The following is a 23,711-nucleotide window of genomic DNA, read 5'->3' as shown; positions in this document are numbered from 1 at the left end:
TGGGGAAAGGGACAAGAGAACAACCTTGTGAAAAAGCAGCAGCAGGAAGAAAAATATTTTGGCAGAGGTGCAGCCCTCATGAGGAAGAACAGCAAAGCTCTGCGACCCACCTCCAGGCTTCTGAGCTGAGGAAATAGTCCCAGGGCATAATAAATCTCTAAGTGCAAAAGTTAGATGAATACAAAGCTAAGGTAGTGTGAAAAGATGCCCAGCTCCAAGAGACTTGACTATTATGGATAAGGCAACAAGGCAGGGCACAGGGCTGGGCTCTTCCTCTGCGTAGGGGATTCAGGGGATAGAGAGATTGGTGGTTGGAGGAAGCACACTCATTCTGCATGTGCAGGGAGTGGGGGCTTGAGGAAATGTTAAAGAGGGGCTAAGGAAGAAAATAGCTGAAAGGCTAGGACTACGATTTTAGCAGAAAGGCACCAAACAGTAGGTTCCCTCTCTGTACCTCCACACCCTACCCCCAAATCTTGAATTCCTCCCAAGATGAGCATTGGTTCAGGACACTACCACATGTTTATTGTCACTGAACAGGAAAGATCTGGCTGATCTCCAGGCACTGCAGCCCCAAAGCTTGAAGGCTAAGTGTGTTTGTTATTGTTGTTGTTTAACTCTGTCACACAATTATCCATTAAGGCAGATGGATCCATTTTTCTAAACACCCATGAAACTGATTCCTTAGCACAGATCATTTATTTGCCTCTGAAGAATGGTATGAAACAACTATTTGGGGAATAACACACAAGAGAATATGTTTCCCAAACCTCTCATTAGTGGGGAGAGGACTTTTGTGTTTTGCCAGGGGTCATACAAATTCTGGGATGGGGTGGGTGGGATGGATGAGGGTTCTGAGAAACTGAGAAGAAGCCAGGATTGGACAGACACAAACATCTATAAAAGTTAAAGGGCATTTTTTCACAACAAATTGTTTGCTGACAATTGTTTTTCACTCTTGAGAAAACCATGTATGTTCTTCCTCTTCAAAAGTTACATGGAAATTATAATAAAACTATTGCATTTATAACATTCCTCTAGTAAAACTGAACCTTCTCTCAAAACTACCAAATACTGACCCCCTGAAAAATAATTCTATTGTCATAAGCATGACTGAGGTGACATCAGCAGAGCTCCCTACTCTACAGGATGGAGTTAACTAAAGGAATCATAATGACCTGAGTACTCACATCATTTGACTTCAGTCTCTGATCAAAATGGTGCCTAAATCAAGTTTCCTGTTTTTCCTCCCTGTTACACAATGATCCATTAGGACAGGCGGATCAATTGGACCAGCCATCCATGCAACCTCTGGTTCCTGAGATCAATCTGCTTATTTGCCCTGGTGAAAAATAGCATGAAGCAATGGTTTGAGAACAAAATTTTCAGTTCACTTACAAAAGTTGGCATCATGTAGATACAATGCCTGAGAGCCAGTTTGGAATTTCTGATTACCATACTATAAATCTTACCCAGTGAATAAAGAAAAAGTATCAAGTCTTTATCTGCCTTTAATGAGTGTTCCTTTATCTTAGTTCTCTCATATACCCTAGTCAATCAAAGAACCTAAAGGCATTAATACCAAGTGAATCATTTTATGCTCACATATGCAAGCAATGGATAGTTTTTTCCCCAAATTTTGGAGTAAGAAGCCTTTGAAACACTTCTAAACTGCACCATATATTTTGTCAAGATGTGCCAGACAACTAGAGATGGAGTTATTTTCTTGGCCAACACAAAATGGCATGTGATTCACCATACCTTTTCCTACAGCAACAAGCTGCAGGAAATAAAACAAGGTAGAAATTCTAAATGTACGAGAAAATAATGCTAGAACGCATCATATCTGGTAATTTCATAATTAAGAGTTTGAAAACAATAAAGTTTCAGTATTTTAAACCTTAAAAGAAATCGTAGTTTCAGCCCGGGCAAAATAGTGCAACTCTGTCTCTACAAAAAACACAAAACAAAAAAAAATTACCTGGGCATGGTGGTACATGCTTGTGGTCCCAGCTATTTGGGAGGCTGAAATAGGAAGATCGCTTGAGCCTAGGAGGTGGAGGTTGCAGTGAGCCAAGATGGTGCCACTGCACTCCAGCCTGGGTGACAGAGTGAGTCCCCACCTCAAAAAAGAAAAGAAATTCAAGTTTACAAGTAGAGTTTTATATTTTATGTCTTAATGTTTCCCACCAAGAATAATACTTAGAGAATTTTGTAAAGGTCTAGATTTCAAAACAATGAGACATTAGTCAAAATCAAAAAAGGAATAGCAAGGATGAGGTGAAAAGAGTACTTGAATGTATTTCTGGATGCACCGGACAGTGGCAAATCATTTTTGAAGATAGTTTATGAGTTTCATGATCCATAAAAGTATTTGTATTATTTGGCCCAGATTTTGCCATTTGGACTATCAACCCTAAGGAAACAATTTTGAAATATATGTTTATATTTTAATATAAACAAAATAAATTCAAAAAAGATGTTTTCCATAGATTATAGCAATAAGAATTGGAAATAATTTAAGTGGCCCCAAATTAAGGCAATTATATAATTTGGGGTCCAGCCAACAATATGATAATGGTTAAACTATGGTACCATTAGGGCAATATAAGCAAAGGCACAGTTTTTTTTGGTAATTTCCCAACTTACTGTAAGTGGTTATGATAGTTACATTTTTAAAATAATTTTTTAAGTCCTAGAAACCCTACCAATGCACTTGAGTGTTATGAGCACTTGAACACTGAGGTAGTTTTATAAACTCTGCTCTGAGGAACAGGACTGGGGAAGGAAAGAGTAAAGATTGCTGCTTTTAATACAGTGTGATTTTAGACCATTTAACAAAAACTTAATATAAAGAAAATGACAATTACTGCGGTAAGTATGGAGGACAGAGACTATAAGCAAAGGAAACATGTTACCAGATTGTGTTTTAGGAATAACCCTCTGGTCAAGTCTGGAGAGTGGATTAGAAGGAACTAAGGAGAAGATAGTTCATTGGAGTTAGAATGCTTTAACGATTATTTTTACATTTGTGTTGCACTTTATAAACTACAGTATTCTTTCACTCCATGATCTAATCTAAATCCTTTCCATTTAAAAAAAGCAACAATTCAACATCAGGTTTCAGGAGAAATCAGCATGTAAATTAGGCATTATGCAAAGAAAAACAAAAACTTAAAATCTACGATGAAAATACGTCAGAGTCCACAGCTGCCAGGAAGCTCTAAGACAATGTTTTATTCCAGGATCTGCCATTGAGCTGTATTTTAAGTGTATCTGTTTTGTCTTCCTTCCTCAAGGTCTTTTGATATTTTATTCTTTTTTACTTCTTTTTAAAAAAAGGGTTTCCCTCTGTCGCCCAAGCTGGAGTGCAGTGGTATGGTCTCAGCTCACTGTAGCCTCGACTTCCTGGGCTCAGGTGATCCTCACACCCTCAGTATCAGCCTCCCAGGTAGCTGGGACTACAGGCACACACCACCACGGCTGGATAATTTTTGTATTTTTTGCAGAGCTAGGTTTTCGTCTTGTTGTCCAGGCTGATCTCAAACTCCTGGGCTCAAACGATCCTCCCACTTCAGCCTCCCAAAGTGCTGAGATTACAGGCATAAGCCACCATGCCCAGCCTGATATTTTATTCTTACTGAAACAAACTTACCGTTATAACCAATGTCAGTTAGATGTCCCACCTTTATCTTCAAGTCACTCATACCCCAACCCCCAACCCCACTCCTTGCCCCAAAGAACAAATGGTTGATCATGGCTTGGATAAGTTTGTTCTCTATTCCCCGGGACCTTTTTACTCCTCTCCCATTTACCACTCTGGCTACAGAGAAAGAAGAGGCAGCACTGTCTCATCCAGGATGTTCCTGCTACTCGAGCTCCACCCACCCACCTACCTGCCTCCCACCCACCCATCTGCCTCCTACTGAGGGAGGGGAAGCAGTAGTTATGGCCCTGAGCCCTCAAGTCAGGCCTGTGCAGAGTACTTCACATGCTTGCTTTCCACGATGCTCCCTGCAGCCTTATAAAGCAGGTACTGTTATTCTCTCTACTGAGCTGCAAAGAAAATAAAGCTTAGAGAAAGAGAGTCCTGCTAAGGCCACACAGGTAGTTAGTAGCAAAGCTAAGGTTCAAACCCATGGTGTATAACCCTAAAAGTTTGTGCTTATACATTACAGTAAATACGACATTATTCTTGGGTGGTCTTCCCAGCCCACACATCCTTCAACCCTTTAGCTCTTACTTGAGTTTAAGTAGAGAAGGGGTGTTTGTGAAGCAACGGAATGCTCACAGTTCATGGAGCTTCTGCTTCTCGTTAAATCCGGGATAATACATTCATCTTATCATAGCAGTTGCTGAAATACACTTAAAAGACTAACTCAATTCAGGGGTTTTAATGAGTGTGTAAAGACAGGCATATTCCTGAAATTCTACTACATAAAGCATCTGAGTCAGATTATACCAGAGCACATGCTGGGCTATTTTTAGGAGGGCTGTATATAGGACATAGTTTTCTGGTTATGTCACAAGCTTGCAGGTGGGCCTTCTCTTCACATTTTAGATAAAAATAGATACATAGATATAAAGATAAATACAATACAGTTTCTGCCCTTGAAGAGTTCCAAGACTAGTTACAGGGACAGAAAAGGTAAAAATGAAGCATGAGAATGTGAAATTTGGCATAACAGAGGTAGAGGAGCAGAGAGAGCAGGAATTTAAGCACCTTAGAAGCCTCTGCTTCATCTGTGCAACACATTTTATTACATGCCAAGCACCGGTGAAGACAATTATGCACAAAAATCAACACTGTCTCGGCTGTTAGGACTCCACTTTCTCAGGTGGGGAAATCAGACCTCGTCAAATGCCAGCACAAAAGCAGAGTTCCACTTTCCAGCGGTGACGACCTACCCACACAAGAACATGCCTCTCGCAAAGGATCTCCTTCATCCCTCCCCAGAAGAGGAGAAGAGGAAACACAAGAAGAAATGCCTGGTGCAGAGCCCCAATTCCTACTTCATGGATGTGAAATGCCCAGGATGCTATAAAATCACCACGGTCTTTAGCCATGCACAAATGGTAGTTTTGTGTGTTGACTGCTCCACTGTCCTCTGACAGCCTACAGGAGGAAAAGCAAGGCTTACAGAAGGATGTTCCTTCAGGAGGAAGCAGCACTAAAAGCACTCTGAATCAAGATGAGTGGGAAACTCAATAAACACATTTTGGATTAAAAAAAAAAAAAAAAAAGCAGAGTTCTACACCAAGGGAAGTATGCCCAAGGAAAGCAATGCTGTCTGCAGAAGACACACAACAAAAGGACTTGCCTTGGACAGGAGCTGGGATGAGTGTAATCGTGGTGGCCCTCCTCTGAGGAAGTGACTCTTGAGCTGAGAGGTGAGGACAGAGGAGGCATTAACTCAAGCAAAGGAATGGGGCTGAGAGCATTCTAGACAGGCAATCACGTGTGCCAAATACCGGGGATGAGAAAAGCAGAGCCTTTCCAAAACACCGGAAGGAAGTCATGTGACAAGAGTGCAGCAAGCCAGGGGAAGGGGCACAAAAGGATGGGCAGGGCAGGAAGACACCCAGGAGCCAGGGATGGTGTTGAGGATTACAGGTGGCAGAGATATAATGACACAAGACTCTTCACCTCTTCTCCATGTACCACGTAGGTACCATGTCCCCTAGGTAGCCACCTTTCCACAGCCTTGCACCATGACAAAAGTAGCACAGAACCACTACAAATGTTCAGACAGGTCATGTAACCTCTTAGATTCTTCACTTATTACAAATCAACATTTTGGGCCAGGGATATGTTTTAAAATCCTTTCAGTTAGGTGAAATATGTTAACATCAACAGTTTTCAGATTCTTCCCCCTACTAAAAGGTTGGTAGTAAACGTTTCTACTGATTGAAAAAAATGGCTTTACTGATTGATAAATGGTACTGGGCTTTCTGTCCAAACATTAAATGAATTCTAACATAATCATAGCACCACCTGCATTCATTTGAAAAATGATAATCCACATATGTGTCCCAGATATAAGCATTTTTTTATCTGCAGAATGATGTTTGTGACACATATGAATTTAGGGACCACTTGTAAAAATGATATGGCCCATAACTTGGAAACCGCAAGGCTAGATAAACTCTAAGGTCCCTTTCAGTACTGAAATTCTGATTCTATCATAATTTTCAGTAAGAATCATTTTTATCCTTATATATAATGGAGCAAAAGACAGAAAAAACTTTGGCTAAAACTGCAACTAAAATCTTTCGGAACACAAAGCCAATTAGGAAAATCTGCTTAAGTTGACCATGATTTACTGTGATTCTAAACATGTGCACTCTGCAGCTGATTAACAATTCTCTTTAATGTGTTTTTAAGCTTCTTGAACCTCTTAACCTCAGCTGTTCTGAATCTTGATGTCATCAGCCTTGATCTTCCTACATCCACATGTTCTCTGTGGGCTTGGCTTTCACACAAGCCCATCCTATATAATCACCCCAACAGACCCAGGCTGATGTCCTCTAGCACTGCAATTTCAGGAAAAAAAATTAGCTTTACGTTTCCAACACTTCATTAAAAAAAAAATCCAGAAATGAGTCTCCCAGACCTGGATTACACCTTGTGCTCATCCCTGAACCAATTGCTGTGGCCTAGAAGATGGAAATCACAGATTGGCCAAGCCAAGTGTCACTATCCATACACTTGAGAGTAGGGAAATGAGGGAGGTTTCAAAGGAAAAACCAAGGTGACAGGATATGGATATCCCATAGACCAAAGCAACATTTTTAATGACCTTCTGGACTTTTTTTTTCTATTGCAAATGACAGAAACCCAATTTATGTGGTTTTAGCAAAAAAGAGTCTTAATTGGCTCACATAACTGAGAACTCCAACAGTAGTTTGGCTTCCGGCGTAGCTAGATTCAGGGATTCAAATAACTGAACTCCCTCTTCTTCTCCCTCTCCATCTCTCTCCTTATCCTGATTTCTTTAGTCTTGACTTCATCTTCAGGAATGGTTTCTCCAAATGGAAGACTGTGTAGTCCCCAGCAGCCCTAATGGACATAATTTTAGCTTCTGAACTTTCCAAAGAAGAGTGGCCTTCTTTTCCCTCCATCTCAAGCTTCAAAGGACTCAGAATAGCCCCCTGGGGCCACATGTCCAGACAGCCACAAGTCACCCCAACCAGAGCATGAGCTACTCTCATTGAAAAGCCTAGAGCCCATACCTGGGGCTGGGAAAGTAGGGCCTCAAATTAGACCTACAAAATATAAAAGAAAAAAAGTTCCTTAAAAGTAAAGTCAGATGCTCCACCAAAAAAAAAAAAAAAAGAGAGAGAGACATTGGGGGATAGGAAGGCAAAAGCAATAGGTGTCTATTATGGTCCTCGTGCTAACATTCAGCTCCATACATCACCATGTCTGTCACCCAGCATTTGAGCTTCTGACCCTGTTGTTTTGCTCTCTCCCTTCTGGCTGAGCACACTCCTGGAAAACTCTTGGTGGTAATTCTCTTGCTTTAGCTCAACCTCAAGACCCTTCTTTTCCATACTCTAACCTGGTAGAAAGTCTCTATTTCAGTATGTATTGGTCATTTGGGCAGGATTTGCAAGTAAGAAGCCGGGGTTCAGGTGTGCTGACTCAGGCAGGTGGAGCTGGTGCTAGCAGACTCAGGCAGGTGGAGCTGGTGATGAGGGCTCAGGAGGAAGAGAAGAATTCATTGTATGTGAATGAGGACAACTTTACAAATAAAGATAATAGAAAGTACAATAAATGGCATTAACGCCAATGAAGAATGAAATTATTTTAGAGCAGTAATATCTCCCTATTACTAAGGGAGATACTACTATTTTTAATGAACAAAAAGGAAAGAATAAAGTGTTATGAAGGGACAGGAAGAAAAGTCTATGGCAGTATTTCTCAAAGTATGGTCCCTGGACTATAGCAGCATGTATTAGCCCATTCTCAAGCTGCTATGAAGAAATGCCCAAGACTGAGTAATTTATAAAGAAGAAAGGTTTAATTGACTCACAGTTCTGCATGGCTGGGGAGGCCTCAGGAAACTTACAATCACAGTAGAAGGCAGGGCAGCAAGAGAGAGAATGAATGCGGGCAGGAGAAATGCCAGACGCTTATAAAACCATCAGATCTCGTGAGAACTCTATCACGAGAACGGCGTGAGGGAAAACCGCCCCATGATTCAATTACCTCCCGCCAGGTCCCTCATGACACGTGGGGATTATGGGGATTACCATTCAAGATGAGATTTGGGTGGGGACACAGCCAAACTATATCACAGCATCACCTGGGAGTTTCTTTAAAATGCAACTCTGAACTTGTCAGAAGCCTGAGGATAGACTCCTTCAGGTAAATCTGATGCATGACAGTTTATAGACCTTTTACTTTAAAGGATGATCGGTCCTTCCTCTCTGGAGATCCATTTCTCGTTTTAAAACAAGGTGCTGATATTCATCTTTCACAATTTGTAAAATGCCCCCTTTCTAGTCTCTTCTTTCAATTCCTTCTTCCTTATTTTCTGCAATTTCATTTTCTAGTCCATGAGCATAACACAAACTGTCAAGTTTAGGTCGATGAACATAGCTAAAGACAAATAGGGAAAAGATAAAAGAACGGCTCACCATTTCTCAGTGTATATTAGCAAAGAGGAATTACTTGAATCAACCAAACTTTGGCTTTGAACTTTCTGCTCACAAAGATGGACTAGTCATTTTCTGAGCAGACATGCAGTGGAAAGGGAGCTTGCATCTTCTCTGTTGTACACCAGCTTATACATACACTGTAGAAAGCAAATACTAAAGTTTTTCATCTTAAGGAATAATTTTTTTTTCTTTTTTCTTTCTTTTTTTTTTTTTTTTTTTTTTTGAGACAGACTCTCACTCTGTTGCCCAGGCTGGAGTGCAGTGGCATGATCTCAGCTCACTGCAACCTCCACCTCCCTGGTTCAAGCAATTCCCCTGACTCAGCCTCCTGAGTAGCTGGGATTACAGGCACCCGCCACCACACCCAGCTAATTTTTTTGCATTTTTAGTAGAGACGGGGTTTCACTATGTTGGTCAGGCTGGTCTCGAACTCCTGGCCTCATGATCCACCCACGTCGGCCTCCCAAAGTGCTGGGATTACAGGTGTGAGCCACGGTGCCCAGCTAAGAAATAATATTTTAAAAAATTTTTACAAATATTATACCAATGTTATAACCTGGGAAATGTGCAGACATATTCAGTGTGAATGAAAAAGGAAGCAGTTACAGGACACAGATCAAATAGAGAAATAACAATGAACACTTTCACGGTATTTACATGCCAGGCCCTGTTCTAAGTGTTTGACATATATGAGCTTATTCAATGCTCATAATAGCCTTATAACTTGCATACTGCTAGCAGGCCCATTTGAAAGATTAAGATGAAGCACAAAGAGGCACTTACAAAGACCACACAGTCTGAACTTGAAAACGGGCAGTGGAGCCCAAGAACCAGTGAATGCCCTTGACCACCTTTCTTCTTAATTTCTGGTCCCAACCACTCTTCCAGTCTACCTCGAAGCAGAATTCAGTGATATTACTGTAATTTTAAGCAGATCAAGGGCAGCCAGGAGCAGGATGGGAAGAGGCAGAGATGTTGAAGGAAACATGGAGACGGGAAGAATGAAGCTGGACAACCGGGCATAGAGTAGCAGCACCAAAAGAAAAGGACAAGAAGTCAAGGAAGGGGAAGCTGGAAATGGGTTGATGGAGTTCATGGGCAAGGGTGAAAAGCAAGGAGGTTGAGAGAGAGTGAAGAGATCATGATGTTGCTCTGGAGAGGCTGAGGATGAGTTCAGATGATGAAGGGGTGGGAAGCTGCAGGAAGAGGGGACACAGACAGCTAAGGAGACCAGAGACTCAGGGGAAGGCATGAGGGAGCCAGTCTGGGAAGTAGAGCCAAGAAGAGATGCGTTTAGAAATGAGGACTTGGGTCCAGAAAGATAAAATAGAAAGGGGACAAATAAAGAGAAGGAGACAAAATGAAAAGGGAAGGTCCTCTCCTTGGGCATTCCAAAGGCCATCATGCCCTATGGTCCAGATAAGAGAGCATTTGTTAATAAAAATTAAAAGACTTGGATCTAGCACCAGTGATTTTTCATTTTGTTCATCCATTCCCTAACAGCTTGTGAGCGTTCACTTCTAAAATAATAGAGACAGAAGAGACCAAGCCAGAATGACATTTCCCATCCACTCAATACATGTCTCAGTCCTGTCAGTGGGGCAACCACAGAGGAGGGATTGAGCAATAGAAACCCATTTTTACTGCCTTTAAAGGGCTATTTAAACATGCCACAGAGAACATGGCCCAATTCAGTGAAAGAGAAGCTCTTAGCAGCAGCTGCCTGCTCCATTTGGACTGTGTGGATCCACGCTCTGTCTCCACAGTGTCACAATTCTTCAACATGGGGAGGGCTGGCCTTGTGTCACATTTACCTGAGCGACCTAGGTTCCCAAATGTCTAAAAGAATGTGACTGAAGAGTCAAAGGCATACAGACAAAGACAATTTAGGAATATTTTGCTTATTGACCAAATAGGTGGGAATTCTTGCATGCAACAGATTGCCTTCTGAATACAATCCAAGTGCAGGGCCTCCCTTTATCATTCCAGCCCTCACATTCCAAGGACTTCCCAAACTTACCTGATGTTAGCAATCACTTCGAGTACTTGCTTTAAAAAGAAAAGCGTTTGCCAAAAAAAAGTACCCCTGAGATTCTGAGTTAATAGATTTAGGCGAAACCTAAAAAGAAACCTCTTTTTTTTTTTTTTTTTTAATTCCCACAGATACGAACACTTACAGAAGTAATTCTTTTGGTCTGACATGTTCAGGAGGCTCTAGTGTGCCCTATTCACCACCTAAACTGCATTTCTTTCTGTCGTTTAGTTTCGTTTTGTTTTGTTTGAGACAGGACCTTGCTCTGTCACCCAGGCTGGAGTGCAGTGGTGCCATTACACCTCACTGTAGCTTCGACTTCCTGGGGCTCAGGTAGGTGATCCTTCCACCATGCCCAGCTAATTTTTGTATTTGTGGTAGAGACAAGGTTTCATCATGTTGCCCAGGCTAGCCTCGAACTCTTGGGTTTAAGAGATCCACCCACCTTGGCCTCCCAGAGTGCTGGGATGGCAGGTGTGAGCCACTGCGCCTGGTCTAAACTGCATTTCTTTTTGCTCAAATAGTTCCCACTTCTTTCCTACCCATACTCTTTACATCACACATCTACCTATGCCGACTTCTAGATTCCCCAACTTCTGCCACCACATACTACGCTCTCCTATTGAAATCCTTGAAATTCTAGCCAATTCTCAGCTGGGATTTCTTGACCTCCCAACTTGAAAGTGGTCTCTTCCTGTCCACTCTAACATGCAGTCCAGTTTGTACTTGTCTTGTGGCACATGCTCCCATTTTACCTCGCTATAGGAATAGTACCCGTCATACCTCCTTGCTAGACTGCAAACGTGTTGAAGGCAGTAGCTATGTCTTCGGATAGCCCCACAGATATCAAATGCTTAGCACAGTGCATGGGCCATTGTGCCTCCTCCAGAAGGAATATTCCCCCCTTCCCTTTTCTCTTTCATACCCCTTCTGTGCATAGCAACAGGCTTTGCATAAAGTATCTGTTTACTAAATGTATGTTGAATAAATGAGTAACTGAAATAAGAACTTTTGGAGACTTTTGTTAATTTGTGTTACTTTTTGATTCAGATAAAACACGCTTGGGAAAAAGTACCTGGAGGCATTTAGCATACAGAAAGGAGATGTTTTGTTTTTCTCTATAGGCAACTCATAAGTTACAATGCCAAAGTCTTGGCTGTTGAATTTTGGGACATTTTTAGAATAAACAAGCATTTAACTGAGTATCTAGAATGTTATACAGAGCTCTTCAGAGAACTAAAGAAGGATACAAAATAAATGGGGGAAAGGTTCTCCTATTCTCATCAACACAGAGTTTTGTTTAAATATAACGAAATACATGGGGCGCAGCAGCTCACACCTATAATCCCAGCACTTTGGGAGGCGGAAGCGGGAGGATGGCTTTGTTACAGTAGGTAACTAGTCAGGCATAACCAGGGTAGGAGAGGGCTCCCCACCACACCTCACCAGCAAAGTCAGGCAACCATCAGGTGATGGTCAGGCAGTTGTCCCACTGCCTCTCTAAAATAATAATTGGTTACAGCCAGCATCAAAGAAAGGCAGGTCCCTTATAGATAGAAAACACCTGAAATTGGTGATTGACAGCTTCTCAATTAAGATCTCAGGAACTGGGTGAGCGGGCTCAAGCATGAGCATTAAGAACCAAAATGGCGGAGTATGACCTTCCCGGGTCATTCCACCTGAAAAGGGACGAAGTCCCAGGCAAGCATGTGCCAGACTCCAGTAAACACACTGTGCATGCTCACCTCCCAGGCGCCAATTGGCCACTGCACATGCTGGCAGGTCACCCTAAGGGAAGAATCAAGGAAAAAGGGACACAGGAGCCCGGAAGTATGCCAACATATAACACCCTAAGTCAAAGGTCAAAAGCCGCACTTGACCTCCAAGATGCCCACTTGGGCCTTTTCCAAGTGTACTTTCCTTCCTTTCCTTCCTTCCTGCTCTAAAGCTTTTTAATGAACTTCCATTCCTGCTCTGAAACTTGCCTCCGTCTATTTTTCTGCTTTATGCCCCTCAGTCGAATTCTTTCTTCTGAGGAGGCAAGAACTGAGGTTGCTGCAGACCCCTACGGATTCGCTACTGGAAACTCAGATAACTTCCACTAGTAACAGCTTGAGCCAGGAGTTCAAGACCAGCCTGAGCAACATAAGGAGACAGTCTCTACAAAAAAAATTGTTTTTAATTAGCTGGGCAAGCTGGGCTGGAGGATCACTTGAGTCCGGGAGGCTGAGGTTGCAGTGAGCTGTGATGGCACCACAGTACTCCAGCCTGGGTGACAGAGCAAGACCCTGTCTCCAAATATATATGTGTGTGTGTGTGTATGTGTGTGTGTGTAGAGTCTCACTTTATATAGATAGATACATAGATAGATCTCTATATATACCCAATATTATATTATTAAATCATTATATTATGAAATATATTAAATACAATCATTATATTATTAAAATATTAATTGTTGCAGCAATTTCACTTAGTGGAAATTTCAGCCAATGTGCCAATTATTACCAATTATTCCAACTGCCACAAGAGATTGTTTTGCTCACTTTAGATGATGAAGTGATCTATAAATTGATTCTTCAGTTCATTCTCCAGTTTCTTATTTCTTTTCTTTTTTTTTTTTTGAGATGGAGTCTCACTTTTGTCACGCAGGCTGGAGTGCAGTGGCGCGATCTCGGCTCACTGCAACCTCTGCCTCCCAGGTTCAAGCAATTCTCTGGCCTCAGCTTCCTGAGTAGCAGGATTACAGGCACCTGCCACCACTACTGGCTAATTTTTGTATTTTTCATAGAGACAGAGTTTTGCCATATTGGCCAGGCTGATCTTGAACTCCTGACCTCAGGTGATCTGCCCACCTTGGCCTTCCAAAGTGCTGGGATTATAGGCATGAACCACTGCGCCTGGCCAATTCTCCAGTTTCTTGAGTTGAAATTAAGCTTTCTTCTGTTCCATTTTGATGTGTAACCCCGGCTTTGCTAGGTCCTCTCCTGCAAAATACCAATTTAATTGGATAATGATCACTTGTCCTTGTATTATTCTTATAAACATCCCTATACAACTGGATGTAATTTCTTCAGAAATCAGGGAGAATTCTACATAGCAAAGAAATCTTTTCCAGATATACTTTTGAGATTGTGTATTAGTATTATGATATAAAACTACAAAACAGCCATGTTCTGATGTTGACCGTGTAACTCTGACCACATTATGGCAAGCATACATTCACATTTAAAAAAAGAAAAAAACTTTAAAAACACAATTAACCAATGTTTCTTAACATCCAGCTATTTGGCATTACAAAAACAAAACATCTGGCTAGCAATTACATGTATTTAGTTATCACGAAGATATTTTGCTTCCTATAAGACTGTATAAGAATCTTAAAAATCTTATTAAATTTTTTTGATAATCACCTCCATGGTCAAAGTAATCAAGGTAACAGAAATTTGAAATGTAAATTGTTTCCTGCCTTCAAACAATGCTCATTGTTGTTGGCTCTAACCTCTGATGAATGCATAGCTTGTAAATTTCTTCTGAATGCATTGCATTCCAATCTTCACAAGTGAGGACTTTAAATAGCAGCTTATCATTATGTCAAAATTCCTTAATGCTTTAACACCAGAAAGAAGGCATATAAGGAAAATAAGAAATCGAACGGTTCCAGACCATCACACTGCTATTTATATGGTAAATGGGACACACAGTGACCTCTAAGAATTGTAATTGTTCAACTGTATGATACAGCTGGTACATATAAAAGATGAGTTCTTTAGGAACTGGTTAAACAAAAAGATTCATTTGGAACTAGCTCTAATGCCTTTCAGTTACATAACGTAAGATGTGAAAAACTTCTATGCATATGTCCTGTGGCATTATACAAAAATAGCATCTCTCAGTGCAACTTGATCACCAGATAATACTGAGGATGGAGACAGGTAACAAGTAACAATAAATTGTGGCTATGCAGCTTTAACCACAAAAAAGAAAAAAGTAACCTGGTGAACTCTCCAGTTAGTAATCAGGCTCCTTTCATTCATTTGAATTATAAATACACAGAGAAGAAAAGAAAGAAAAGATCCACAAATATTTTACCTCAATTAATTCCAACAGAATGTTGGAACGTGGATGTCAGACTCGACCGTTATTAAGCCTGGTATACAATTACAGCAAAACATCTTGCAGAATCTTGAAGCAATCATTTTCATTTTTCATTTCTACTTCATGGCTAAAAATTACCATTTCAAATTTTGATGAGTAATCCACATCAATTTTGGATATTTTAAAAGTCACATAGACCTGAAGACATTATAAAATTTACAAAAACATTCAGATACAGGTAACTGTAGTTATCAGATAGGATGCTACAATATTAGCACTGCTTTTTTAGAATGATACCTATGTGGTAAGTAGAAAAACAAATGTATACCCTTTATCCTCCTCAGTTATATCTATATGACTGAAATATCACCTGAGGCAGAATATTCTGTGTTGGAACAAAATAATCATTTGAATGTGAAATGTTGTATACCAGTCAAGACAGCTCTGATGCTCTCCTTTGCCAGAATGTAAGCTCTTTTAGGGCAGAATTATTTGCATGCCTAGTGCTGATCACCTCTGTGCCTAGAATAGTATCTGACATATATTTAGGCGCCCACTAAATATTTGTTGAATATATGAGTGAATTCAGTCTTTGAACAAATACTTCCTGAGAGTCTTTTTTTGTGTGTGTGGAGACAGGGTCTCACTCTATCGCCCAGGCTAGAGTGCAGTGGTGCAATCTCAGCTCACTGCAACCTCTGCCTCCCAGGTTCAAGTGATCCTCCCACCTCAGCCTCCCGAGTAGCTGGAATTGCAGGCGCACACCACCACACGGAGCTAATTTTTGTATATTTAGTAGAGATGAGGTTTCGCCATGTTTCCCAGGCTGGTCTTGAACTCCTGAGCCCAGGCAATCCACTGGCCTCGGCCTCCCAAAGTGTTGAGATTACAGGCATGAGCCACCGCGCCTAGCCTGAGAGTCTTGGTTAACTATCACAGGTGTGATACCTAAATATAGGATACTAGGATACTTGGCCTTCAGAGAAAATAGAGGGCATTTCAAACCAGGTGACCACAAACCTACTGTTTAGGTAATTTGAAAGGAAAACAAAAAAAAAGAAACAATTGAGAACTTAGCCTTGGTTCCTTCTGTGAAAGCAGCAGAGTAAGATAGTAAGGAGGAACTTCAGGAAATTTAGCCTGAGGTTGCGAACAGTCAGTCCGCTGTGCTTCGTCTAGACATTTTGGGAGAAGAAAAAGGGGACTAGCAAGATTTCACACAACTATATGCGTGGCCATGTTATTGTTTGTTTGCTTTTAATTGTTGTCTAAATTTCTGATTTCTGAAAGGGGCTCTAGCACAAGCGCTAAACACCTGAAAGAAGCTACTCTGGCCATGTTGGTCATCAAAACAAACCAGGAGGAATTACCTGTTCTCATAAGAGTTCAAGTCCAGTTTTTCCAACTCCAGAGACAGAACATTTGCCTGAGAAATGAAACCTTCTGAGGGTCATCCAAAACAAGCCCAAAAACCTTTTGAGTTTCTCCAACTGCTACTTATCTTCTACCATAATTCTGCTTATAATTATAAGTTTGTCTGATATGATCCCTGATCCATTTTTTTTTTTTACATATGTCAGTTTTTCTATTTTATAGTTGTGCTAGGAGCGGTTTAAAGTTGTGGTGTCATAGAAGTTAAATCAGACAAACTTTTTAAGTGCTACCAAAATTACCTGAAATGTGTGTGTGTGTATATATATACACATATAAATATACATATATATTCTTTATATAGCTTATCTCTGATTCATTTCATTGGATTTAATACAGTGGGATGTGTTAAAATATAAATAAAGTGCATCTTTTTCTGTGATTAGTAAAAAGCTGTTCCTAAGATTTGCTTAACCTCTGCTGTGTGCAATTGCCAATGGATCCCATTAAAGGGTTGGTTTGATGCTGGCTAATCTGAATTCCCAGCAGTTCAGGCTGAAGGAATTGTTTCAGGGCACTGAGACCAATCAGGAGAAAAGACATCCAACAACAGAATCGCTATAGGATTGTCACACTATCTGTTTACATTTTGATGATACTGTTTAGAAGACAATGTTCAGGCACTGTTCTTGCTGAATGTTTAATGTGCCCAAGTATCAAACTGAGTGCTCTACTGCAGGACCCCAGGTGTGTCTTCTTTCTTTAAGCTTAGGCAGAAAGCACAGCAGCCTCCCACTGCTGTTGTATAGTTCATTCCAAGCTTTGCTTGAGCCTCCCACTGCTGTTGTATAGTTCATTCCAAGCTTTGCTTGAGCCTCCCACTGCTGTTGTATAGTTCATTCCAAGCTTTGCTTGATTCTGTGGACCCAGACAGTGCTCCGACCTAAGCTACCTCTAAGTAACACGCACCCTTGACTCAACACAAAGCCAGCCCCGCCCACTTCTGCATGTAAAGACGCAAAGTGCTTGCCTTCCAGAGGGTGGTTTCTCACAGCAGTGAGTAGGAATAAACATTGAGTCAGACAAATGATCAATGGCTGCTCTTTGGAGGAACCAGTACTCTTTGCTTTGCTTTTAGATGGGTGAGCTCAGAGGCACTAAAAGATTCGTTTCTATAGCATCATTTATTCTGGGGCAACAAAAAATGGTTTGGCAGTCTCTTCCAATTGTTTTTATTTTGTATTATTTGATATATTTACTATATGACCCAGCTATCCTACTCCTAGGTATTTACCTAAGATAAATGAAAACATGCTCATAGTAAAATGGGCACACCTCTATTCATAATTGCTAAAAATGGGAGGCAATCCAAATGTTCTTCATTCAGTGAATGGATAAATAGCCATTGGATGGAATGCTACTCAGCAATAAAAAGGAGCAAACCACTGATACACGCAACAACTTGGATGAATCTCAAGTGCATTAGGCTGAATGAAAAAAGGCAGTCTCAAAAAGTGGCATACTGTATGATTCCATTAAAACAACACTTTCAAAAATATGTATACAACCATAGCAACAAAGAACAGATCAATACTTACCAAGGATTATTTGTGAGAGCAGAGCATTGACCTAGAGGGTGATGGAATTATTCTGTATCCTGAATGTGGTGGTGGTTACACAAATCTCTGCAAGCGTCAAAACTCATAGAATAGGCCAGGTACAGTGGCTCACGCCTGTAATCCCAGCACTTTGGGAGGCCAAGGTGGGTGGATCACCTGAGGTCAGGAGTTTAAGACCAGCCTGGTCAACATGGCGAAACCCCGTCTCTACTTAAAAAAAAAAAATGTTAGCCAGGCGTGGTGGTGCGTGCCCGTAATGCCAGCTACTTGGGAGTTTGAGGCAGGAGAATCGCTTGAACCCGGGAGGCAGAGATTGCAGTGAGCTGAGACTGCGCCACTGCATTCCAGCCTGGGTGACAGAGGGAGACTCTGTCTCAAAAAAAAAAAAAAAATCACTCATAGGATAAAAAATCAAAGTCAATGTCGACTTTACTGTTTGTGAATTTAAATAATCCAAAACAAACACACACTGAGTGGTGGGAATAGCAGAAAACTAGTATTTGAAGAGACCATAGGTGAAAATTTTCCAGAGTTCTTCCACCCTTTCTGAGGAGTGATGGCCCAGGGAGAGAACAAAACCTGCAGAAGTGAGTGCATCTCAGCACAGATGACAAGCTCTCTAGTTGCTCTTGGAACCAGAGTGATACATCCGCCACCATCACTCTGGATACAGACAGAAGCCATGGAGTATGATTACCATTTGAGGGGTTCCGATGACTCCCCACCACCACCCCTTAGCCTGCCATGACCTGAAATTGTTAGCATTAGAGACCTTCCCCAGGCTTAAAGCAGGTGTCTTCATTGTGCTATTCCCATATAAACATGCTAACTAGGAAAAAGAATCCATTATCACTTTACCAAGAGGTTTTTCAGATAAAATAGATTCTGAATTCTGGGAGAACAGCACACAAGGCAGCTGTATTTGCTGAAAGGACAGAGAGGAGAAGGCTGGATCAAGGGAAGTTACCAAGTAAGGGAGCCCTAAGGAAATCAGCGGAAGCAACAAAGGCCACCAGTGAGGACAGTTCCCCAAGAGGGGACAAGGCAGCCATGTCAACACAATTCATTGCCCATAAACACCATGTCTGTGTCCATCAATATTAAAATCAGCCCAAGCTGCAGAGCACATGAACTATGCATAATGGATCTCATAATTTAAACCTGACTGATTGTAAGTTCCTCAGAGACAGGACCTATTTATCTCAGGGTAGTGATCCTTCCTGTGCTCCCAGAAGGAGCTTAATAGTTTTCCAAATGAATGGAATGGATGATTGAACATGCAAAGTTTATTAAGGAGGTCAGACTGATGATGACAACACCTCAACCAAATCCCTTTCAAGTTTCTCTTTCCCATTTTCCACCCTGAAACTCTTTGGTCCATAAAACAAATTCTCATACCTTGTCAGAGTAGAAGCACTGCCTTAGAACCGCATAAACACTTCCTCTGAGTTTACAGAAGTGGATTAAATGAACAGGGCAATATCATATATTTTTCTCAGTAGTTTGGACAATTTTTCCTGGACTATGTTTTCTTCCTCTTTAACCTGTCCCGCCTTGACCTACCTTGTCCCTGCCATGTCCTCACTCTACCATGCTAAAAATTCATTTTACTATTCTCAAGAAACATTCTCCTCCTCTGGAAAATAGCAAAGTTTGGAGATCAACTACATTTCTGAAATCCAATCTCAAAAATGACTCCAATACCATCTAAATGTGTTGACCAGGCTGGGCGTGATGGCTCACGCCTGTAATCCCAGCACTTTGGGAGGCCAAGGCAAGAGGATTGTTTGAGCTCTAGACCAGCCTGGGCAACACAGTGAGACCTCGTATCTATTATTTTTAAAAAATAAATAAATAAATAAAAATATGTTGACTGTCTAAGAGTTGAGGTAGGTAATTGGACATAGGTTTCATTTGCTCTGTTCTGGAATTAGCATCTTTCTTTCAAATTTCACTACCACACACATTAGTCTTCTTTTTTCCTTCCTTTTTTGTAATATGGACATCAGAACAATTATTCAGTTATTATACAGATGCACCAATACACATCGCCAAAGGACATTATACACAATAATCCTTATTACGTTTATCTTCATACACAAAGGATATTTCCCTTTGAACAATGCCTTTCTCTGATAAACTTGTTTAGTACAGGAAGCATTTACATAGAATTCTATCTCCAACAAGTATTGTCTGGTTGTCTGGGTGCTTTTTACCGTCAGTTTTTATTGAAATTATATTTTTATGTATGCATGCACGTTTACTATAGACCATACATATAGTAATCACACACAAACACGTGAACTGTGACTGTCTGAAGACTTCTGTACTATGTGGAAGCATGAAAATGTTAAGCAGGCATCACTGGTACTGGCTCCAGCCACATAGTATCTCTTTTCATTAAAACAGAACTTTTTTCAGCAGTAAGAGCATGGCAAGACCTGAAGGAGGTCCAGCCTTCTGGCATAGAAGCGGAGACACAGCTCTACTGTTTAACACTGAAATGCTATTTATTAGATAAACATTACATTGAAATAGCCAAAGAACACACAAGGCCATTACAAGAGTGAGCTTTTTTTTTTTTTTTGCCACCACTTATTTATTTTTATGTTATCTCCTTAAAGAAGGACTTTCATACCAGAGCAACCTTGGGGAAAATGAGACCCACAAAAACAGCATTCATGGTGGCGATTTTCTAGACCCTCCATTCTATTATTTTGGATATTTCCTTTTGAACATGGCTTTCTTTCCCACAGCTATGCTTGGCCTCCTGGTTTGCAATGACGTTATGTCTGTGTTGGTGACTTCCCCAACTGCCACTGGGAAAATTAGTGCCACAAATTTAACATAAAGAGCTAAATTCTAGCCTCAGTTGTTTCACTCTAATTCAAGGACTCTTTGGCTATAAATGTAGTCCTGATACGGTCTTTTTTTTTTTTTTTTTACTACTTTCAGGAATGGATGAAAAAAAAAGGCAAAAATAAAATCCATATGCCAGATATATGGTATCCAATGTATGCCAATCCATATGCCAGATATATGGTATCCAATATATGCCAATCCATACGCCAATATTGTATCCAATTCCTCCCAACTTTATCAACAAATATTTATCAGGCACATTCCATTTGAAAGACAGCAGGGGCTACTAGAAAATGAGAAACAATATTATTGTCAAAGAACTTTTGATCTATAGGAACACAAGAGGAAGAAAATCTGACTACCATAGATGCAACCACTTCTAGGTGTGCACTGAAAGAAAAATACAAATACATGGAAATTGGGAGAACGAAGAAAGTAGATTAATAAAGCTTTCATGAAGAAAAATGATTTGAGCTGGGTCTTAAAGAATGATTAAAAATGCAAAAGTATGAAATTGGAGAAAATAGAGGAGAACGACGTACCACATCAGAAACAAGCTAATGAGGTGCATCTTGAAGAACAGCGTGTGGCCGTGTACCATTTGGGCACCATACGTTGCCTTCATGTGGCTCTCCAGCTCTGGCTCATGCTAATCAGTGTCCCAGGCTTTTAAGGGAAGGGTTGACTTGACCTGTAATTGGCATGGCCCAAGAGAGCCAAGGTCAGAAAGAAATTAGGTTAGAACTGCCAGGCACGGTGGCAATCCCAGCACTTTGGGAGGCTGAGGTGGGTGGATCACTTGAGGTCAGGAGTTTGAGACCAGCCTGGCCAATATGGTGAAACCCCATCTCTACTAAAATTACTAAAATTAGCCGGGTGTGGTGGCACATGACTGTAATCCCAGCTACTTAGGAGGCTGAGGCAGGAGAATTGCTTGAACCCCGGAGGTGGAGGTTGCAGTGAGCTGAGAGTGTACCACTGCACTGCAGCCTGGGCAACAGAGTGAGACTGCGTCTCAAAAAAAAAAAAAAAGAAAAGAAAAGAAAAAGAAATTATGTTGGACCTATTTGTAATCTAAAGAATCAGAAGACAGATCCTAAGAATGTTAAGATAAATTGAATACATATTGCTAAAAATGAATAAAAACTTCAAACTCCTGAAGCTCACTGTTATTAGTTGTAGAACCAAATGAGTCTCAGTAAATACTCTTTTCAGTAGTGAATGAATTCATGATGGAAAGAGTCAAAAAATTTATAAAGATTTTGCAGGTTGGTAAAACTATTCGTAACTGTTAGATTTTGGTCAATCTACCTGGAAACAGAGGTTTCAAATCTGTCAATATTTGCTAAAATAAACGACATTTAAAACATGGCCTGTTTATTTAAAGATTGTTCATATTCAAATATCTAAACTATTTCATTGGGCATACATGTGTTCTCCTAGAGCATGCTTTTGTAGCTAGAGATGGGGAGAAATTCTTGGAGCAACCCACACTTGATTTCATGGTTGTTGAAAATTAGGGTGTTTCTTAACTTTCTTCTTGAGCCTCCACTTTTTAAAGAGAACTGCTATAACAGTATTTATGCCTAAAATTTCCTAACATCACCTAGCAAGATATAAAATGTAAGACAGAAAAGATCAATTGCTGCTGAAAATGCAACCTCATCACAATTTATTTTTAAAGCCCAGGACTAATGAAAAAAGAGTAAATCTATTTGTTTTTAAAGAAAAGCTTTCTTCAGTTCTACTTTAAGAGATGATTAATGGCAGTGATTTTCTTGTGTGTTCCGCTGATCCTACTGAACTGCCTTGCCTGAATTCAAGTGGCAGTTGGGGCTAAATAGCTTTATATCTTCTGGTATCACATGTCCTGGCTCAAATGTAATTACAAGTTTCTAGAGGCTGAATATAAAGAACTCATTTAGAACAGCTGTTTAGGTTGTTTACTATAGACCATACATACAGTTACTCAGAACTGTAAACTCATTCAGTTACTAATAGGCCTTTTAAAAAATGAATAAACCTCTTGAAACTGGGAGGTTTGACTTTAATCAGTGCTCCAATGTTCAATCTTGCCTTTGCCGTTAGACCCAAGTCCAAAAGTGGGGTTTGATTTTGTGCCATTACAGCAGTCTGTGTGCTCACCCTGACCTGGTTCTCCAGTGCTCACTAAACTGCCTTAGCAGCTGACAACTAAAAAAAGGAAGTGCCTCTTTATCTGCTAAAGAGAAATGACAGCTGTCAATCTGGAACTATGAGTCACAGAGAACCGCTCCTTGTTTACTCTACAGTTTTAAAGCAACAATAATCCCAGAAAATTCTAAAGAGCAAATTGGTACCCTCAGTGTATTTTGAGTTTGGTTTGTGTTGTTTTCATTTTAAGCTTTCATTTGTATAGTCAATATTTTGTCCTTGTTTTTCTTCAGCTTCCTTTTAACCAAAAAAAAGTAAAATTGTGTATTTTCTACCCTGTTTCAAAAGTTGAAAAATCCTGTGACACAAATCATTGTGAAAAGCAACCTGTCACACAGCTGAGTGTTACAGTTTCCACAAGGCAGTAGTAATATTAGCTAGATTAAACACCACTGGAATTTTCATGAAATTGTGTTTACTTCTAATGAGATATTTTTTGAAACATTAACAAGTTGATTTGTTCTTTTTCAAATCAGCCTCATTTCTTTTCCCAGGAATAAAAAAGATTATTACTGTTGTTTATTTAATCTGGTAGCTCTCAGACTGCTTTTCACCCATATCCGAAACAAAATTATGAAGATCATATATCTTCAAATATAATATTTCCATATGTAATTGTGAGACCAGCTCTCCTGACTAGTAAATGACTGGAAAGATTGGGTTTCGTTACACAATAAATGGAATTTCTGCCATTTCTAATATTCTACTGTACGTATGTACATTCATGTGTGGATATGTAGTCCTCATCACAATGGGCAAGAAGCATTCAAATAATAAGATCCCAGAACTATTGCTGCCAGGAATATCAAATGGGATGCACAAGAGATTTCATGCATCTGTATTTCTGCCCAATGGGGAAATCTATTTTCAGT

The 23,711-nt window shown here is 40.4% G+C and overlaps 1 long non-coding RNA gene and 1 pseudogene across 2 annotated transcripts in view; one reads left to right on the top strand and one right to left on the bottom strand.

Annotated features, from left to right (window-relative positions):
• Nucleotides 1-23,711, bottom strand: part of LINC02451 (long intergenic non-protein coding RNA 2451) — a 40,119-nt gene that overhangs the window by 2,657 nt on the left and 13,751 nt on the right. Inside the window, exons 4-5 of one of the 2 annotated variants that reach the window (NR_135026.1) lie at nucleotides 13,552-13,683; nucleotides 1,229-1,342 (exon numbers count right to left, since the gene is read on the bottom strand). This is a non-coding gene — a long non-coding RNA (long intergenic non-protein coding RNA 2451). Of the gene's footprint in view, nucleotides 1-1,228; nucleotides 1,343-1,981; nucleotides 2,124-13,551; nucleotides 13,684-23,711 lie in introns of those variants that run through there. The other variant, NR_135027.1, reaches the window with a different exon arrangement.
• Nucleotides 4,887-5,228, top strand: RPS27P21 (ribosomal protein S27 pseudogene 21; annotated as a pseudogene).

This window comes from Homo sapiens, chromosome 12 (genome assembly GCF_000001405.40).
Source record: "Homo sapiens chromosome 12, GRCh38.p14 Primary Assembly".
NCBI lineage: Eukaryota > Metazoa > Chordata > Mammalia > Primates > Hominidae > Homo > Homo sapiens.
The sequence above is the reverse complement of the archived record's forward strand: the minus strand, read 5'-3'. Positions and strand labels throughout refer to the sequence as shown.